This window comes from Homo sapiens, chromosome 11 (assembly GCF_000001405.40).
Source record: "Homo sapiens chromosome 11, GRCh38.p14 Primary Assembly".
NCBI classification, from domain to species: Eukaryota; Metazoa; Chordata; class Mammalia; order Primates; family Hominidae; genus Homo; species Homo sapiens.
Genome location: NC_000011.10, coordinates 119,381,776 through 119,400,747, shown reverse-complemented (window position 1 = coordinate 119,400,747; position 18,972 = coordinate 119,381,776). Strand labels below are relative to the sequence as shown.

At 42.6% G+C, this 18,972-nt stretch overlaps 1 long non-coding RNA gene across 1 annotated transcript in view; it reads right to left on the bottom strand.

Annotated features, from left to right (window-relative positions):
• Positions 1–18,970, bottom strand: part of USP2-AS1 (USP2 antisense RNA 1) — a 117,456-nt gene extending 98,486 nt beyond the window's left edge. The window contains exons 1-2 of the long non-coding RNA NR_034160.1: positions 18,840–18,970; positions 5,594–5,767 (exon numbers count right to left, since the gene is read on the bottom strand). This is a non-coding gene — a long non-coding RNA (USP2 antisense RNA 1). The remainder of the gene's footprint in view (positions 1–5,593; positions 5,768–18,839) is intronic.

Below are 18,972 nucleotides of genomic sequence, written 5' to 3'. Positions count from 1 at the left end.
AGTTTCATTACTTGTTTTTGGTCTTTCAGGATTTCTATTTCTTCTTGGTTCAATCTTGGTACTTTGTATGTGTCCAAGAATTTGCTCAATTCCTCTAGGTTTTCAAATTTATTGGTGTATAGTTGTTCAGAGTAGTCTCTAATGATCCTTTTTATTTCTGTGGCATCCATTGTTACATCTCCTTTTTCAATTCTGATTTTATTTGGGTGTTCTCCCTTTTTTTCTTAGTCTAATAGTTTGTCAATTTTGTTTATCTTCTCAAAAAAAACAATTTGTTGTTTTGTTGATATTTGTATTGGTTTTTTAGTCTCAACTTCATTTATTTCTGCTCTGGTCTTTATTATTTATTTTCTTCTACTAATTTTAGGCTTTACTCAGTTTTGCTTTTACAGTTTCTTGAGGTGCATTGTTAGGTTGTTTATTTGAAATATTTCTAGGTTTTTTTTATTATTTTTAAGATATAGAGTTTCACTCTGTCACCCAAGCTGGAGTACAGTGATGCAAGCATAGCTCACTGCAGCCTTGAACTCCTGGGCTTAAGTGATCCTCTGCTTCAGCCTCCCAAGTAGCTAGGACTACAAATTTGCACCACTACAATTGGCTAAGTTTTTTATTTTTGGTAGAGACGGTCTCTACCTGTTGCCTAGGCTGGTCTCAAACTCCTGGCCTCAGATGATCCTCCTGTCTTGGCCCCTTCAAAGTGCTGGGATTACAGATGTGAGCCGTGGCATCCAGCCATTTTCTAGTTTTTTGGTGTAGGCATTTATTGCTATAAACTTGCCTCTTGCTACTGCTTTTGCTATCTCCCATAGGTTTTGCTATGTTGTGTCTCTATTTTCATTTGTTTCAATAAATTTTTAAATTTCATTCCTAATTTCTTCCTTTACTTAGTCATTCAGGATCATGTTGTTTAATTCCCATGTATTTGTATAGTATCAAATGTTTCTCTTGTTCTTGATGTCTAGTTTTATTCCATTACAGTCAGATAAAATACTTAATATGATTTCAATTGTTTAACAAATTTTGTGAAACTTGTTTCTCTCCTAATGTATGGTCAATCATGGAAAATATTCCATGTGCTAATGAAAAGAATGTATATTCTGCAGCTGTTCGGTGAAACATTCTGTAAATGTCTGTTGTTAGATCCATTTAGTCTATGATGCGGTTTAAATCTGATGTTTCTTTGTTGATTTTGTCTAGATGATGTGTCCAATGCTGAGAGTGGGGTGTTGAAGTCCCCAACTATTGTTGTATTGAGGGTTTATCTTCCTTTTAGATCTAATGATGCTTGCTTAATATATGTGGGTGCTCCAGTGTTGGGTGTATATGTATTTACAACTGTTACATTTTTCTTGCTGAATTAATCCCCTATTATATAATATCCTTCTTTTTCTCTTTTTACAGGTTCTAACTCAAAGCCTATTTTGTCTAAGTATAGCTATGCCTGCTCACTTTTGGTTTCCATTCACATGAAATATCTTTTGCCATCCCTTCACTTTCAGTCTATGTGTATCTTTATAGGTGAGGTGAGTTTCTCACTGGCAGCATATAGTTGGGTCTTTTTTTTTTTAATCCATTCAGCTAATCTTTATCTATCTATCTATCTAATCTATTTAGAGGCAGGGGATTGCTCTGTTGCTCAAGCAGGAGTGCAGTGACATGATCATAGCTCAGTGCAGCCTCAAACTCCTGGGCTGAAGTGATCCTCCTGCCTCAGCCTCCCAAGTAGCTGGGACTACAGGCATGTGCCACCACACCCAGCTAATTCTTTAATTTTTTTTAAATAAGAGGTCTCAATATGTTGTCCAGGCTGGTCTTGAACTTTTGGCATCAAGCAATCTTCCTGTCTTGGCCTCCCAAAGTGCTGGGATTACAGGTATGAGCCACCACAGCCAGCTTCGATCTACATCTTTTAAATGGGAAATTTAGTCCATTTACATTCAAGGTTATTATTTATAGGTGAGGACTTACTTTTGTCATTTTATTGTTTTCTAATTGTCTTGCACATTGTTTGTTCCTTACTTCCTCTCCTATTGCTTATGTCTGGAATTGAGTGGTTTTCTGTAGTGATAAGATTTGACTGCTTTCTCTTTCTTGTTTATGTATCAGCTCTACCAATTAGTTATATAGTTTTGCATGTTTTTATGATGGTGGTTATCGTCGTTTCTTCCCAATGTAAAACTCCTTTGAGCATTTCTTGTACAGCTGATCCAGTGGTAATGAATTCTCTCTGTGTTTGCTTATCTGTGAAAGATTTTATTTCTCCTTCATTTCTGAAGAGTAGCTTTGCTGGGTATATATTCTTGGCTGACAGCTTTTTTCTTTCAGTACTTTGAATATACTATCCCATTCTCTCCTGGCCTGTAACAGGGTTTCCGGTGGGAGAAATCCACTGTTAGTCTAATAAGGATTCTCTTACATGTGACTTGACACTTTTCCCTTCCTGCTTTAAATTATTTCTTTGTCTTTGACCTTTGACAATGTGACTATAATGTGCCTCAGAGAGGACCTGTTTGGGTTGAATCTATTTGGGGTTATTTGAGCTTCCTGCACCCAGATGTCCATTTCTCTCCTAAGACTTGGGGAGTCTTTCGCTATTATTTCATTAAATATGTTTTTCTCACCTTTTCTCTTCTCTTTTCCTTCTGAAATGCCCATAATATGAATATTTGTCCACTTAATAGTATCCCACAAATCCTGTAGGCTTTCTTCTTTTTTTTCTGTTTTGTTTTGTTTGTCTGCCTGTGTGATTTCAAAAGACTTGTCTTCAAGTTTAGAAATTCTTTCTTCTGCTTGGTCTAGTCTGTTGTTAAAGATCTCCATTGTATTTTTTATTTCCTTCATTGAATTCTACAGCTCTAGGATTTTTATTGGACCCTTTGTTATATACTCTGTTAAATTTCTCATTCATATCATGAATTATTTTCCTGATTTCATTGAATTGTCTATTTGTAGTCTCTTGTGTCTCACTGAGTTTCCCTAAGATTATTATTTTAAATTCTTTTTCTGACATTTCATATATTTCCTTATGATTGAGATCTGTTACTGGAGAATTACTGTTTTCCTTTGTAGGTGACATGCCTATCAACAGATAAATGGATAGAGAAAAACTGGTGTATGTACACACAAAGGAACACTGTTTAGCCATTAAAAAAAAAATCTGAAATCCTAACTGGGCACAGTGGCTCATGCCTGTAATCTCAGCACTTTGGGAGGCCAAGGTAGGAGGATTTCTTGAGTCTGGGAGTTCAAGACCAGACTAAGAAACATGAGACCCCCCATCTCTACAAAAAAATTTTAAAATTATCCGGGCATAGAGGTGCACTCCTGTAGTCCCAGCTACTTGGGAGGCTGAAGTGGGAGGATAACTTGAGCCTGGGAGGTAAAGGCTACAGTGAGCCATGATTGCACTACTGCACTCCAGCCTGGGTGACAGACCAAAAGTGTCTCAAAAAAAAAAAAAAAAGAAAAGAAACTCTGTCGTTTGTGGCAACATAGATGAGCTTGGAGGACATTATGTTAGGTAAAATAAGCCAGGCACAGAAAGATAAGTAACACTGTTATCATTCATATGTGGAAGCTAAAAACATTGATCCTGTAGAAGTAGAGATTAGAATACTTGTTACTAGAGGCTGGGGAGGGTAGCGGAAATAGGGCAATAGCCAAAGGTTTGTTAATGGATTCAGAAGTACAGTTAGACAGGAGAAATAAGTTTTAGTGCTTTATTGCACAATAGAATGACTATAACCAACAACAATTGATTTTATTATTAAAATAGCTAGAGGAGCAGATTTTGAATGTTCTCAACACAAAGAAATGATAAATGCTTGAGGTAATGGATATGCTAATTACCCTGATTACATTGTAAACATGTATCAAAATAGTACACTGTATCCCATAAATATATATGATTATTATTTGTCAATTAAAACTAATAATAAAGGCAAAAAATAAAATATAAAAAGGAATAAAATTGTAAAAATCAAAATTACAAAATCACGTGCTTCCTTTCCACTAGAAAGGAATTGTCACTAGAAATTAAGGTTACTAGGGGTTAAGAATTTTAGGCTGGGTGTGGTGGGTCACATCTGTAATCCTAGCACTTGCGGAGGCCAGAGCAAGAGAATCACTTGAGCCCAGGAGTTTGAAACCGGCCTGAGCAACATAATGAGACTCTGTCTCTACAAAAAAAATGTTTAAATACCTGGGTGCAGTGGTGTGCACCTATAGTCCCAGCTACTTAGGAGGCTGATGTGGAAGGATTGCTTGAGTCCAGGAGGTTGAGGCTGCAGTGAGCCATGATCACACACCACTACACTCCAGCCTGGGTGACAGAGCAAGACCCTGTCTCTAAAAAAAAAAAAAATGTGTTTAAGAATTTTAATTCACTTGAGCCCAGGAGTTCAAGACCAGCCTGGGCAACATAGTGAGACCCCATCTCTACAAAAAATTTTAAAAATTAGCCAGGCTTGGTGGCACATGCCTGTAGTCCCAGCTACTTGGGAGACTGAGGTGGGAAGATGGCTTGAGCCCCAAAGGCAGAGGTTCAGTGTGCCGAGATCATGCCACTGCACTCCAGCCTGGGCAGCAAAGCGAAACTCTGTCTCAAAGGGGAAAAAAAAAAAAAAAACAAACCTAGGCACCATGGTAAAACCCCTTTTCTACCAAAAATTAAAAAAAAATAAAAATAAAAAATTAGCCCAGCATGGTGGCGTACATCTGTGGTCCCAGCTGCTCAGGAGGCTGAAGTAGAAGGATTACTTGAGCCCAGAAGGCAGAGGTTACAGTGAGGCAAGATCACACCACTGCACTCCCAGTCCGGGTGACAGAGACCTCATCTCAAAAAAATAAAAATAAAAAAGAATTCTAATTAATATATGTAATAAAGACCACTAGAAGTAGTAAAGATGAAAGAAAATAACTCAGCTGGGTGCAGGGCTCAAGCCTGTCATTCTAGCACTTTGGGAGGCCAATGCAGGTGAATCACTTAAGGCCAGGAGTTCAAGACCAGCCTGGCCAACATGGCAAAACCCTATCTCTACTAAAAACAGAAAAAAAAAATAGCTGGGTGTGGTGGCACATGCCTGTAATCCCAGCTACTTGGGAGGCTGAGGCACAAGAACCATTGGAACCTGAGAGGCAGAGGCTGCAGTGAGCTGCTGAGATTGAACCACTGCATTCCAGCCTGGGTGACAAATGAAGACTCCTAAAAAAAAAAAGAAAGAAAGAAAGAAAACAACTGTATATAAAAAATGTATTTTAAAAGTAGATGAGTTTTTAGCAAGAAAAAGTATATAAGGAATGTGTTTCCTTTAAAGGAAAAAGAGAATGATGTTATCTTAAAAACAAGAGGATTGTTCCAGAATAATAAAGAAGAAAACAAGTAAGATGCAAACTGAACAAATATAGAGAGTTGTAAAAGATCTGCAAGAAAGAGCATATTGAGGAAGAGCAAGATGGCAGAATAAGAGACTCCACTAATTGTCCCCTCCTCCCTGGCAAGGACACCAATTTAACAACTATCTACACACACACACACACACACAAAAAGCTCCTTCATAAGAAACAAAAATCAAGTGAGCACTCATAGTACCTGGATTTAACTTCATATCGCTGAAAGAAGTGCTGAACAGGTAGGAAAAACAGTCTTGAATCGCTGACGCCATCCCTCCATCCCCCAGCAGCAGCAGCTTGGTGTGGAGAGTGTTTTTGTGCACTGGGGAGAGGTAGAGCACGGCAATTTTGAAGTACTGAACTCAGTGGTGCCCTGTTATAGCAGAAAACAAAACCAGACCAAACTCAGTTAATGCCCACCCATGGGGGGAGCATTTAAAGCAGCCCTAGCCAGAGGGGAATTGCCAATCCCAGCAGCGTGAACTTGAGTTCCCCACAAGCCTCGCCACCATGGGCTAAAGTGCTCTGGGGCTCTAAAGAAACTTGAAAGGCAGTCTAGGTCACAAGGACTGCAACTCCTAGGCGAGTCCTAGTGCTGAACTGAGCCCAAAGCCAGTGGACTGTAGAGGCACACAACTTACTGAGACATCAGCCGGGGTGGCTAAGGGAGTGCTGATACCAGATAGTTTTAAAAAACTAAAGTTGATGGATACAAAGTCAGTAAAGCCCCTTGGATATTACCAAAGCACTGACTAAAATATCATATTTTAAAACTTACATGGAATTAATATCTGTGTTGCACTTATATAATCAGATCTACCTTATTGAAACAAGACTTATTTTGTTAAAAAAATTTAACTGTGACTATTTTTTATAAAAATGAGTGACTATTAAAAAGATTACATTTCAATAGAAAACTGTAGCGCACCAATTACCAAATTCTAGTCCTGTTTATTTTCTTTGAGATTTGTTATCCATCTATAAACTGGATTGAATCCTCAAGTTTTCTAGTTTCATTAAAAACTAAAACTGCCCTTTTCTCAAGTCCTAAAAGCTGAAACTGGATGACTTCAAACTTCAGAAAAAAATCACTGCAACAGACCATGTATAGACAACCTTTATGCCTGCTGCTATGTGAGTTCACCAGAACACCACCTGATGATATAACCAGCTCTCAAATGCCATCTTCATTCCACCATCTAAAGATACTTCAAAGTCAAATCTACAAATCTTGACCCTCCAGACACAAAGACTAAGATCATAATTTGCTCCAAATATTAATCTTCGTTTTTCCTTTGTTTTCATAGAATGATAACTTGAATACTCTTCGAGCAATATAATCTGAAATGAACAATTTAGCCTCAAAAATACTCCAAAACAGGAGTGCTTGATACCTCACAGTTTAACAAAGAAGAGCTTGTGCTTTTATTGATTAAAAAAATGTTTTACCAGGTATGGTGGCTCACACTTATAATCCCAGCACTTTGGAAGGCCAAAGTGGGCAGTTCACTCGAGCCTAGGGTTTTGAGACCAGCCTGGGCACTGTGGAGAAACCCCATCTCCAAAAAAAATACAAAAATTAGTCAGGTGTGGTGGCATATGCCTATAGTCCTAGCTACTTGGGAGGCTGAGGTGGGAGGATCCCTTGTGCCTGGGAGGTCAAGGCTGCAGTGAGCCTCGATTGCACCACTGCACTCTAGCCTGGGTGACAGAGTGAGACCCTGTCTCAAAAAAAAATGTTGTTTCTATGTCAATAAATTAGAAATTATTGCCCCATGGGATAACTGGAAAGCCACATATAGGAGAATGAAACTGGATCCTCATCTCTCACCTTATACAAAATCAACTCAAGATGGATCAGGGACTTAAATCTAAGACCTGAAACTATAAAAATTCTAGAAGATAACATTGGGAAAAAAAACTCTTCTAGACATTGGCTTAGGCAAAGACTTCATTACTAAGAATCCAAAAGCAAATGCAACAAAAACAAAGATAAATAGGTGGGACTTAATTACACTAAAGAGCTCCTGTACAGCAAAAGGAACAGTCAGCAGAGTAAACAGACAACCCACAGAGTGGGAGAAAATCTTCACAACCTATACATCCAAAAAAGGACTAATATCCAGAATCTACAGGGAACTCAAACAAATTAGCAAGAAAAAAACAAACCATCCCATCAAAAAGTGGGCTAAGGACATGAATACACAATTCTCAAAAAAAGATATACAAATGGCCAACAAACATATGAAAAAATGCTCAACGTCACTAACGATCAGGGAAATGCAAATTAAAACCACAGTGTGATACAGCCTTATTCTTGCAAGAATGGCCATAATCAAAAAATAATGGGGGCCGGGTACAGTGGCTCACACCTGTAATCCCAGCACTTTGGGAGGCCAAGGCGGGTGGATCACAAGGTCAGTAGATCGAGACCATCCTGGCTAACACAGTAAAACCCATCTCTACTAAAAATACAAAAATTAGCCGGGTGTGGTGGCGGGCGCCTGTAGTCCCAGCTACTCGGGAGGCTGAGACAGGAGAATGGCGTGAACCCAGGAGGCAGAGCTTGCAGTGAGCCGAGATCGTGCCACTGCACTCCAGCCTGGGAGACAGAGCGAGACTCCATCTCAAAAAAATAATAATAATAATAACAATAATAATAATAATAGATGTTGGTGTGGATGCAGTGATGAGGGAACACTTCTACATTGCTGGTGGGAATGTAAACTAGTACAACCACTACGGAAAACAGAGTGGAAATTCCTTAAGGAGCTAGAAGTAGAACTACCATTTGATCCAGCAATCCCACTATTGAGTATCTACCCAGAAAACAAGTCATTTTACAAAAAAGATACTTGCACATGCATGTTTATAGCAGCACAATTCACAACTGCAGAAATATGGAACCAACCCAAACGCCCATCAATCAATGAGTGGATAAAGAAACTGTGATATATTTATATATATTTATATATATATATATATATATATATATATATATATATATATGAATACTACTCAGCCATAAAAAGGAGTTAATGGATTTATAGCAACCTGGATGAAACTGGAGACTATTATTCTAAGTGAAGTAACTCAGGAATGGAAAACCAAACATCATATGTTCTCACTTATAAGTGGGAGCTAAGCTATGAGGATGCAAAGGTGTAAGAATTATACTGTGGACTTTGGGGACTCAGGGAAAAGGGTGGGAGGAAGGTGAGGGATAAAAGACCATAAATTGGGTTCAGTGTACACTGCTCAGGTGATGGATGCAGCAAAATCTCACAGATCTCCACTAAAGAACTTACTCATGTAACCAAATACCACCTGTTCCCCTAAAAACCTATGGAAATAATTTAAAAAAAAAAAAGAAATTATTGCCCCCAATTCAAATGATCTTAAACAAATGTAAGTTCCTCATCAGATAGGTGCGATCTACCTGATCTACTGATTTATTTAATGGGTTAATTCTTGGCTTTTTGTATTTTTAGTAGAGATGGGGTTTCACCATGTTGGCCAGGCTGGTCTTGAACTCCTGAGCTCAATGTCTGCTCCAGAGAATTTTCAATTATTGGCTATTATTCTCCTTATAATCATGGTTTTCATCTCTGTAGTCCACTGTATCCTCTCAAGGGATTTGAATGCTTTCCAGCAGCATTCAGGTGTGAGACCCTAACCACTCACACATCAAACAATTGCCGTCAGGATTAGACAACTAGAAGAACGCAACAACCCCACCACTCAAGCCTATGATGACTCTGCAACTGCAGATAATGATAACTACCTGACCTTACATTCCAATGCAACTGTTGAGAATGACAACATCTACACGATTCTTTGTTCCAGTAACTAGTCAATAATGGTAACCTGGTTACCGAGAGTAATGCTATACTGTTCGGTCACACTCTCAGCTTGCTGGGAGAATGACCAAAAGCGGGGAGCTCTTAGAGTAAATTTAAAGAGATACTAGGCCTGAAGAATCCCTGAGCAGACAAAACCAGTGAGGCTTCATAACGAGACCTAAACCTTGCTTGATTTGCAAACATAAGTGAAACTTGACTTTTTTCTTATAAATGCCTATATTAAGGAAAAACAAATCATAGGCTCAACCAGTCAGAAATAGCCAAAACAGTTATACTATATAACCAAGGACTTTCCAACAGGATAGGCCAAATAAGGCAATTGTATAATTGCAAACAACCAAATAATTTATTGATTTTGCTTCTGTATTTACCCCATAAATACTTGCCCCTGATGGCTTGCCGCCAGAACAGACCTCTTCAGTTTGGTGTTTCCCAATTCATCAATTGCTTCTTACTCAAATAAACTCAAAAACATTATTGCGCCTCAGATTTTTCTTTAACGCAAGGAAATAGGGGCCACACACCTGCAGCCATGAGGAATTGGAGTCTACCAACAACCTGAATGAACCTGGAAGTCGATCCTTGCCCCAAGCCTCCAGACATGAGTCCAGCCCAGCTGACACCTTGAATTTGGTCTTGTGGGACCCTGACCAGAGAACCAGCTGAGCCCACCAGGACTTCTGACCTACAGGCTATAAGATAAGAAATGGATATTGTCCAGGTGCAGTGGCTCATGCCTGTAATCCTAGCACTTTGGGAGGCTGAGGCAGGAGGATTGCTTGAACTCAGGAGTTTGAAACCAGCCTGGGCAACATATGAGACCTCATGTCTATCATTTTTTAAAAAATAATAATAAAATAAATGGGTATTTTTTTAGCCACTAGATTTTGGGGCATGTGTTATACAGCAATAGAAAATATGGCAGGCAAATAAACATACCAGGGAAACATAATAGAGATGCTGGGCAGTGCTGAGTATGTCCATCTGAGGTCTGTGGTCCTGAACGTAAAGTGGACCTAATCAGGTGATCTGTATCTTCCAACTGTGTGAGTGCAGGCACAGGGAGGTGGAGAAGATGGCTTCAGCAAAGATCCAGGTGTTTCCAGGCAAGAACAGCAGAAAGAAGGAGGGGCAAAAAATTGAAGGAAGTTGGCAAAGGAGAGAGTCTAATGAGGCATTGTAGAGTCTACTGTGTAAGGACGTGAAGATGCTGGCGGGTGGGCAGATGAGCCACAATGAGAAAGGGACTCAAGAGGTCCAAAGTGACAGGCCAGCTCTCTGGCTGCTGACATCCCAAGATGATGAAGGAGAAGGGCAGAGAGGAAGACAATGGGCCAGGAGCCAGTTGTAAAGGAGATGAAGTTCCCTGAAGCCAGCAGCTGCCAGCAACAAAAGATGGCGATACCAAAACCAGACACCAGGAGCTCCAGAGAGCAGGGCTGCTTACCAGAAGAGAGGTAAGCAAGACACTTATCCCCACCACCTGTCAAAGTGACCGCACCTGGAAACAGGCTCTGCAGGTGTAATCAAGTTAAGATGAGGAGGGCCCTAATCTAATGACTAGTGTCCTTATAAAACAAGGGAAAGTTGGACACCGGGAAACAGGAGACAGAGAGAAGAAGGCCATGTGAAGACGGAGGCAGAGATTGGAGTGATGCAGTCACAAGTCAACAAACACCTGAGGCTCCAGAAGCTGGAAGAGGCAAGGAAGGATCTCTCTCTGTTGCCAGGCTGGAATGCAGTGGCATGATCACGGCTCACTGCAACCTCTTCCTCCCAGGCTCAAGTGATCCTTCCACCTCAGCCTCCCAAGTAGTTGAGGCTACAGGCCTGTGCCACCACTCCTGGCTAATTTTTTGTAAAGACAGGGTTTCTCCATGTTGCCCAGGTTGGCCTCAAACTACTGGGCTCAAGCAATCCACCCAACCCGGCCTCCCAAAGTGCTGGGATTGTAGGCGTGAGTCACCACACCTGGCTGCAACCTTTTTTTTTTTTTTTTTTTTGAGATGGAGTCTCGCTCTGTCGCCAGGCTGGAGTGCAGTGGCACAATCTCGGCTCACTGCAACCTCTGCCTCCCAGGTTCAAGTGATTCTCCTGCCTCAGTCTCCCGAATAGCTGGGACTACAGGCGCCCGCCACCACACCCGGCTAATTTTTTGTAATTTTAGTAGAGACGTGGTTTCACCATGTTGGCCAGGATGGTCTCGATCTCTTGACCTTATGATCCACCCGCCTTGGCCTCCCAAAGTGCTGGGATTACAGGCGTGAGCCACCATGCCTGGCCTGCAACTTTTAAATAGTTTTTCCTGCTTCCCCTTACCAAGGTTTCAAAAATCTCAGGATCTAATCTCAAACCAGGTCCCCCAAAGCTGTTTTGAAGACCACGATGGGGCCAGTGAGGGCAATAACTGGAAATCCTCAAATCAGAAGGTATTGGATGTCTGGATTAGCAACTTGACCCAAAGAGAATATCTAACAATATATCATCTGCATCAAAACAAACTGGATTTACCACTCTCTTGTTGGAACTGCAGGGAAATCCTAAAAACATTAAATCACCCAGGGATACGTGGAAATTACACAATACACACTACTACTAATTTCAGATCTGTTGTTGATAATTTATTTAGTGTGCTAAATTTTAGTTGTGATTCTAGTGAAGATACGGTATTTATCAGGCATTTCATAGGTCGTTCAGTTTTCTGAATCTTATCTTTTATCAAGGATCTTCATCTGCAAAACCTCCCATTGTTTCAGCAACCTAACCCTGTGATTAGGAAGGGAATACTCTCAAACCAGAAGAAATATAACAATAAAACCCCAAACTACGACAGAAGCAATGTGGGTGAAAAGGGGGAAATTTTAGGGTGGCTAAAGACGTAGAATCCATGGCGCCCACTGGATATAGGGGATATGATGACATCTTACAATATTATTTGTGGTTTCTTCCCCTTCTCTCCTATGGCCTCAGCTTGAGCAGCCCAGCTTTTGCGCTGATGTCTCAGTGAAAAGATGCAACAAAAACGAGGGGAAACAGAAAGCCACTTCTGACTTTTGAATTTCAATCGCCTAGGCAGGCCCTTAGGAAAACAGAAAGGACTCCCAGTCTGGATAGAAGATGTGCAGGAAATATTCTGGATAAAGCAAGGCCTCGCACTGATTTCACCCCAGTTCCATGACATGAGCACAACTCGCAGGCAAGAGCCAGCGGGAACGTAGTGACAGCACAGACAGTGGTGGGTTCTGTCCTCAGGCACCTGAGTGCAGAGAGACAGCAAAACCCCCAAGTAAGTTTCTGAGACCTGATGGCAGTGGAGCCCCAGAACTATATCCAAGGCAGAGCCTTAGGAAGGAGACAAGACCCCCCAAAAGAAGACATGGCTGCAGAGGGTAGCCTATTGTGGAGGCAGCTTGAACCATAGACAGTGCCACACTTTCTCATGCTACTCCAGGGCATGGGAGCAGTAGAATGAACCCTGTGTCCAAGAGCAACTGAGAGGTAGCACACAGACACCAGACCTAAAGAGGCCATACAAGCAGGAGCCAGGCAGAGGATATCTCAGAGGACATTGAGTGGCCACTTAATAACAGGACCCACTTCCACCAGTGCTTTGGCAAAATATATACATAAGAGACACCCTCCCAGAATTAAGGCAATCCCTGGAGAGAGGAGGGGTGATTCCACCAATGGATTAAAATGAAGCATCCAACATTCCAGGAGAATAGAAGCTGGCTCAGAATAGAAACATAAGAGCCAGGCACTGTGGCATACATCTGTAGTCCCAGCTACTTGGAGACTGAGGCCAGAGGATCCCTTAAGCCCTGGAGTTCGAGACTAGCCTGCGCAACATAGCAAGACAGTCTCAGAAAAATAAAAAGTGTGTAAAAAATATTATAAATGTAGTTATATTATAGAAAAAACAATGTTATGTGTATGCTCCTGCATATGAGTCTGTAGAATAAGATAATACCACTATAAGAATCAAGGGACTGTGGCCAGGCACAATGGCTCACATGTGTAATCCCAGCACTTTGGGAGGTCGAGGCGGGTGGATCACCTGAGGTCAGGAGTTCAAGACCAGCCTGGCCAACATGGCGAAACCCCATCTCTACAAAAATACAGAAATTAGCCAGGCATGGTGGCAAGCACCAGTTATCCCAGCTACTCGGGAGGCTGAGGCAGGAGAATCACTTGAATCCGGAAGGTGAAGGTTGCAGTAAGCCGAGATCGCACCACTGCACTCCAGCCTGGGCAACAGAGCAAGACTCTGTCTCAAAAAAAAAAAAAAAAGAAAGAAATCAAGGGACTGAGAGAAGCTAGAAACTACCAAATTTCTGACCAGGGAACTGGACAGATGGTGGTGCCATTCATGGATGTGGGGAATAAAGAAAGGGGGAAAACTGAGTGAAAAATGCTGAGTTGAAGGTTTGGGCATGTCAAGGCTGAGATGCTGATGAGGCATCTAGGGATGTCAGGAGGCAGGTGGATAATTATGACTGCTGCTCAGGAATGAGGCCTGCTTGAAAATACAGATTTTTGCATCATCAGCCTACACAAGTAGCACCTGACGGATGAGTAGTAGCTCGGAGTGATGACCTTACATACTCACTATGTGCCAGGCATTGTTGTAAGCTTTTTATGCATACTGACTCATTGGATCCTCAAATGAGAACCCTGTGAAGCAGGTACTACTACTATCTTTTTTTTTTTTTTGAGACGGAGTCTCCGTCGCCCAGGCTGCAGTGCAGTGGCGCGATCTTGGCTCACTGCAAGCTCCGCCTCCCAGGTTCACGTCATTCTCCTGCCTCAGCCTCCCGAGTAGCTGGGACTACAGGCGCCCGCCACCACGCCCAGCTAATTTTTTTGTATTTTCAGTAGAGACGGGGTTTCAGTGTGTTAGCCAGGATGGTCTCGATCTCCTGACCTTGTGATCCGCCCACCTCGGCCTCCCAAAGTGCTGGGATTACAGGCGTGAGCCACCGCGCCCGGCCTATCTTTTTTTTTTTTTTTTAAGTGGCAATGTCTCCCTATGTTGCCCAAGCTGGACTCAAACTCCTGAGCTCAAGCCATCCTCCCACCTCAGCCTCCCAGGCAGCTAGGACCACAGGCACATGCTACCATGCCCAGCCTCACTTTTGTAAATATATGAAGAAACAGATATAAATGTTTCATGTCTCACAGCTAGGAGCCAGAGAAATCAGAAGTTATCCCAGTAAATCTACAACCTTCACATATAACAACCACTGTGCTATACGCTGCTCTGAAAGGAGGATAAAGGAACATCAGGGGAAAAGGAGAATGAGAAGGTGACAGCTGTCAGGAGGAAAACCAGAAAAGCAGTGTGTCCACAAAACCTAAAGGAGGACACAGCTGAGGGAGGAAATGGTTGGAGGTATCAGATTTGTAGGTGGTCAAGTGCCTGATTACAACTAAAAAGTGCCCATTGGATTTAGCATCTAGATCAGTAATGATGCCTAACAGAAGAGTCCTGAGGTTGGAGGGAGAGCAGATGTGTTGTGGATGCTGCATAGACTAGGAGGTAGGAAATATAGCATGCACAACTCTGCCAAGAGAATTGTGAAGAGGGGAGAGCTAGAACCTAAGTTAAAGATTTTCATTTTTTAAAGAGGAAGGGTGTGGAGCCTTTTATATGTCAAAGGAAAAGTCAGTAGAAAATGGAAGTTTTAAAGAGATAGGACTCCAAACATGTGCAAGCAATTGTGAGTGGGATGTGATTGGAGACACTTTCAAATCATGATTTCTAACCTCAGCTGGGCCCCTGATGCTACCTGACAACCACACTGCATTTGTGGGAATTCGAGTCCAGTCACTGCCCCACTCTCTCACACAGTAGTTCTCAAAGGGTCATCCCCATACAGGCGACTGCAGCATCACCCGGAACTTGTTAGAAATGCAGATTCCTGGGCCCATCCTAGACCTACTGAATCAGAACGTCTGGGGGAAAGGAGGGCTTTTTTTTTTTTTCTTTTGAGATAGCATCTCACCCTGTAGCTCAGGCTGGAGTGCAGTGGCACAATCACAGCTCACTGCAGCCTTGAGCTCCCAGGCTCAAGCAATCCTCCCATCTCAGCCTCCTGAGTAGCTGGACCACAAGCGCACACCACCACACCTGGCTGATTTTTTTATTTTTTGTAGAGATGGGGTCTCTCTATGTTGCCCAGGCTGTGGGAGGGCTTTAATAGGCTCTCTAGGTGGTTTTGATACACACTAAAGTTTGAGAATCACTGTTCTCAGTGACTTTAGAACTCCACCTCTAGGTTCAAACTTCTAAGCCTTTCCCCTTCATCCTCACAGTCAGCTGACCCTGCTTCCTAATTCACTAAGAGAAAAAAAAAAAAAGGCTACAAAGAGATAATATCCACCAGCTTCCCCCACATCAATCCGCCTTCCCACATCTATGCCCAAATATCGTGCCTTCTCTCTTTTTACTTTTCATGAGCCATCAGTCCTCTAACCAAAGCCAGCCCCTCTGCTTCTGGACTCTGTCCAATCCCTTCTCCCCTCATCAGGGACATTTCTTCAGACATTCTCCTCACTCCCCACTGCATTGTCAATCTTCACTCTCTACTGCCTCTTCCCCATCAGCATATAACATATAACTATTTTTTCCCACTTAAAAAGTTTTCTTGACCTCGCTTCTCCTTTTAGCTCCCATCCAATTTCTCTCCTTCCTTTACAAGAAAACTCCTCCAAAGAGTTGTCTATACTGCTGCCATCCCTCTCCTCCCATTCTTTCTTAAACTCATCCGCAATCAGACTTTTACCCCCACCACTCCACCAAAACTGTTCTCGTCAAAATCACCAATGACCTTCAATCAATTATCTTTGCTCTATATACTTTCCAGTAGGGGGGCAAGGGAGGGACAAAACATAAAACAAAAAAAAAATCAATCAATCAATTCTCAAACTCATCTTACATAATTTATGGGCCACATTTGACACAATTGACCTTTCCCTCCTCCTTGGTAAGTTTCCTTCTCTTGGCCTTTAGCATACCACCATCTCCTGGGATTTTTTCCTCTCTACACTGGTCCTATGCCTCCATCTCTCTGACAGTTCCAACTGATCTCAAGCTCATATTGGAGAGCTCCAGAATTAAGTCCTTGCACATCTTTTCTATCTACACTTGCTCCCTTGGTAATTCTTCTCATCTCCTGGCTTTAAATAACTTCCATATGCTGATGACTCTCAATCTTTTATCGCCAGCCCAGACCACACCAAACTTGCATATGCAGCTGCTTTCTTGACATCTCCATTTTGATGCCTAGTAGACATATGTTTTTTGTTTTTTGTTTTGAAACTGTGTCTTGCTCTGTCGCCCAGGCTGGAGTACAGTGGCACCATCTCGGCTCACCGAAACCTCTGCCTCCCAGGTTCAAGCGATTATCCTACCATAGCCTTCCCCTCCTCAGTTAAAGTTCAGGTGAAAAATTCCTCCCTCCTCCCCACACTGCCTAATTCATCAGAAAATCCTGTTAGTCCACATTCAAAATACTTCCAAAATCCACCACTTTGCATCACCTGTCCTGCTACCACACTAACCAGACGCTCACAATGACCTCCTAAATGGTCTCCCGCTTCTGCTCTCTTCAGAGCTGTTCTCTACACAGTAGCAAAAGGTATTTTGTTAAAACAAAAATCAGATCCGTGTCCCTCCTCTGCTCAAAACAAACTTGTCCAACCCACAGTATGCAGGCCACATGTGGCCCAGGATGGCTTTGAATGTGGCCCCACACAAATTCGTAAACTTTCTTAAAACATTATGAGTTTTTTTTAAAGCTCATCAGCTATCTTTAGTGTTAGTGTATTTTATGTGTGGCCCAAAACAATAATTCTTCTTCTACCATAACCCAGGGAAGCCAAAAGATTGGACAACCCTGTTTCAAAACCTTCCAGTAGCTTCATAAAAGCCAAAGTCCTCAGAATGGCCTTGGGGACCTACAGGCTGGGTCCTTCTCTGACCTCTCTGATCGCGTCTCCCACTCTTTCCCTATCTTTCTCTCTCTTCACTCCAGCCACATTGACTTTGTTCTTCCTCGAAAGTGGCAGGTCGCTCCCACCTCAGGACCTTTACTTTTACTCTTCTCTCTGCCTAGAACATTCTTTCCCCACATTTATGTGTAGTTCACGCCTAGCCTCCCTCAGGTCACTTGAATGTTACCTTCTCCGAACGCACCTCCTCCTTGCTTGATGTGCCCCATAGCTCTTAGCATCATCTAACATATTACATATTCTACTTATTTAGTCCTGCTTCTACTAGAATGTAAGCTCCCTGAGGGCAGGGATTGTGCCTGTTTTGTTCCCTGCTATATCCCCAGTTTCTAGAAGAGTGACTGGCATGTCCAATATCCATCTGTAAAATGAAGTGATGGAATGAGGGCCCTAAGGAAATATAACATGGTGAAACCCCATCTCTACTAAATACAAAAAATTAGCTGGGGCCGGGTGCAGTGGCTCACACCTGTAATCCCAGCACTTTGGGGGTCTGAGGCTGGTGGATCACCTGAGGTCAGGAGTTCAAGACCAGCCTGACCAACACGGTGAAACCCTGTCTCTACTAAAAATTCAAAAATTAGCCAGGCGTGGTGGTGGGCTCCTGTAATCCCAGCTACTCGGGGGAGGCTGAGGCACAAGAATCACTTGAACCCGGGAGGAGGAGGTTGCAGTGAGCCGAGATTATGCCATTGCACTCCAGCCTGGACAACAGAGCAAGACTCTATAAAAAAAAAATCGGCCTGGCGTGGTGGCGCACGCCTGTAATCCCAGCTACTTGGGAGGCTGAGGCAGAATTGCTTGAACCTGGAGGTTGCAGTGAGCTGAGATCGCGCCATTGCACTCCAGCCTTGGCAACAAGAGCGACGACACTCCGTCTCAAAAAAACAAAAAACAAAAACAAAAACAAAACAAGAGTTGAAATCAAGAAGGGAATCGTGCCTTGGACAAGAACAGGGGTGCCTCTTTCACTGCTCCTGATAAGAATGGATTCAGACATGTTTGTAGGTAGAAATTTAAGAATTCCCCTCTTGATTGCGTCTGATTTCTCTGGGAAATAGAAGAGAAGGAAGGACTTGAGGAGAGTAGCGATGGAGAGAGAGATCTATGGTGAAGATGGGAGGAGTTAACGGCAGCTGCAAGGGTTGATGGAGCAGCTGAAGTTGAAAACCTGGATTCGCCTTGGTACCCAGCTACCTGGTTGTGCGATTTTCCTCATCAACATCGGGGGAGTCGGGAGAAGGTTACATAAAAGGAATGGGAGCAGCAAAAATTCAAGTTTTGTCTCGGCTTTTTCTTGAAAAGACCAAAGAGAATTCTTTCATTGACTCAGTGCCTCCGTTTACCCACTCAGGCATTCATCACTAATCACTGGTCCCATGAAAGTAAAATGAGCGGAGAGTGTCTTTGACAGCAGAGAAAAAGAGAAGAGGCTGAGGAACAGGACCTCCCCCAGCCCAGTGAGAAGGGGAGTGGGGGACGTTTAGCCTTCCCTAAAAACTGAAAGTTGATACGCCCCAGGGCTCAAGTTCCGAGCCTTCTCCCATGACGCCTCTTCTTTCCCAATACCTTCCAGCTGCCCCGTCGTGTGACATTCCAGTCCACCTCTGTTCCTGCTCCACCCGCTCCAAACTCGCGTGCTTTTCCTCCACGTGGTTCTCTGTGTATATCGGTTGCCTGGGTGGCCCCAGCCGGAGGCCGG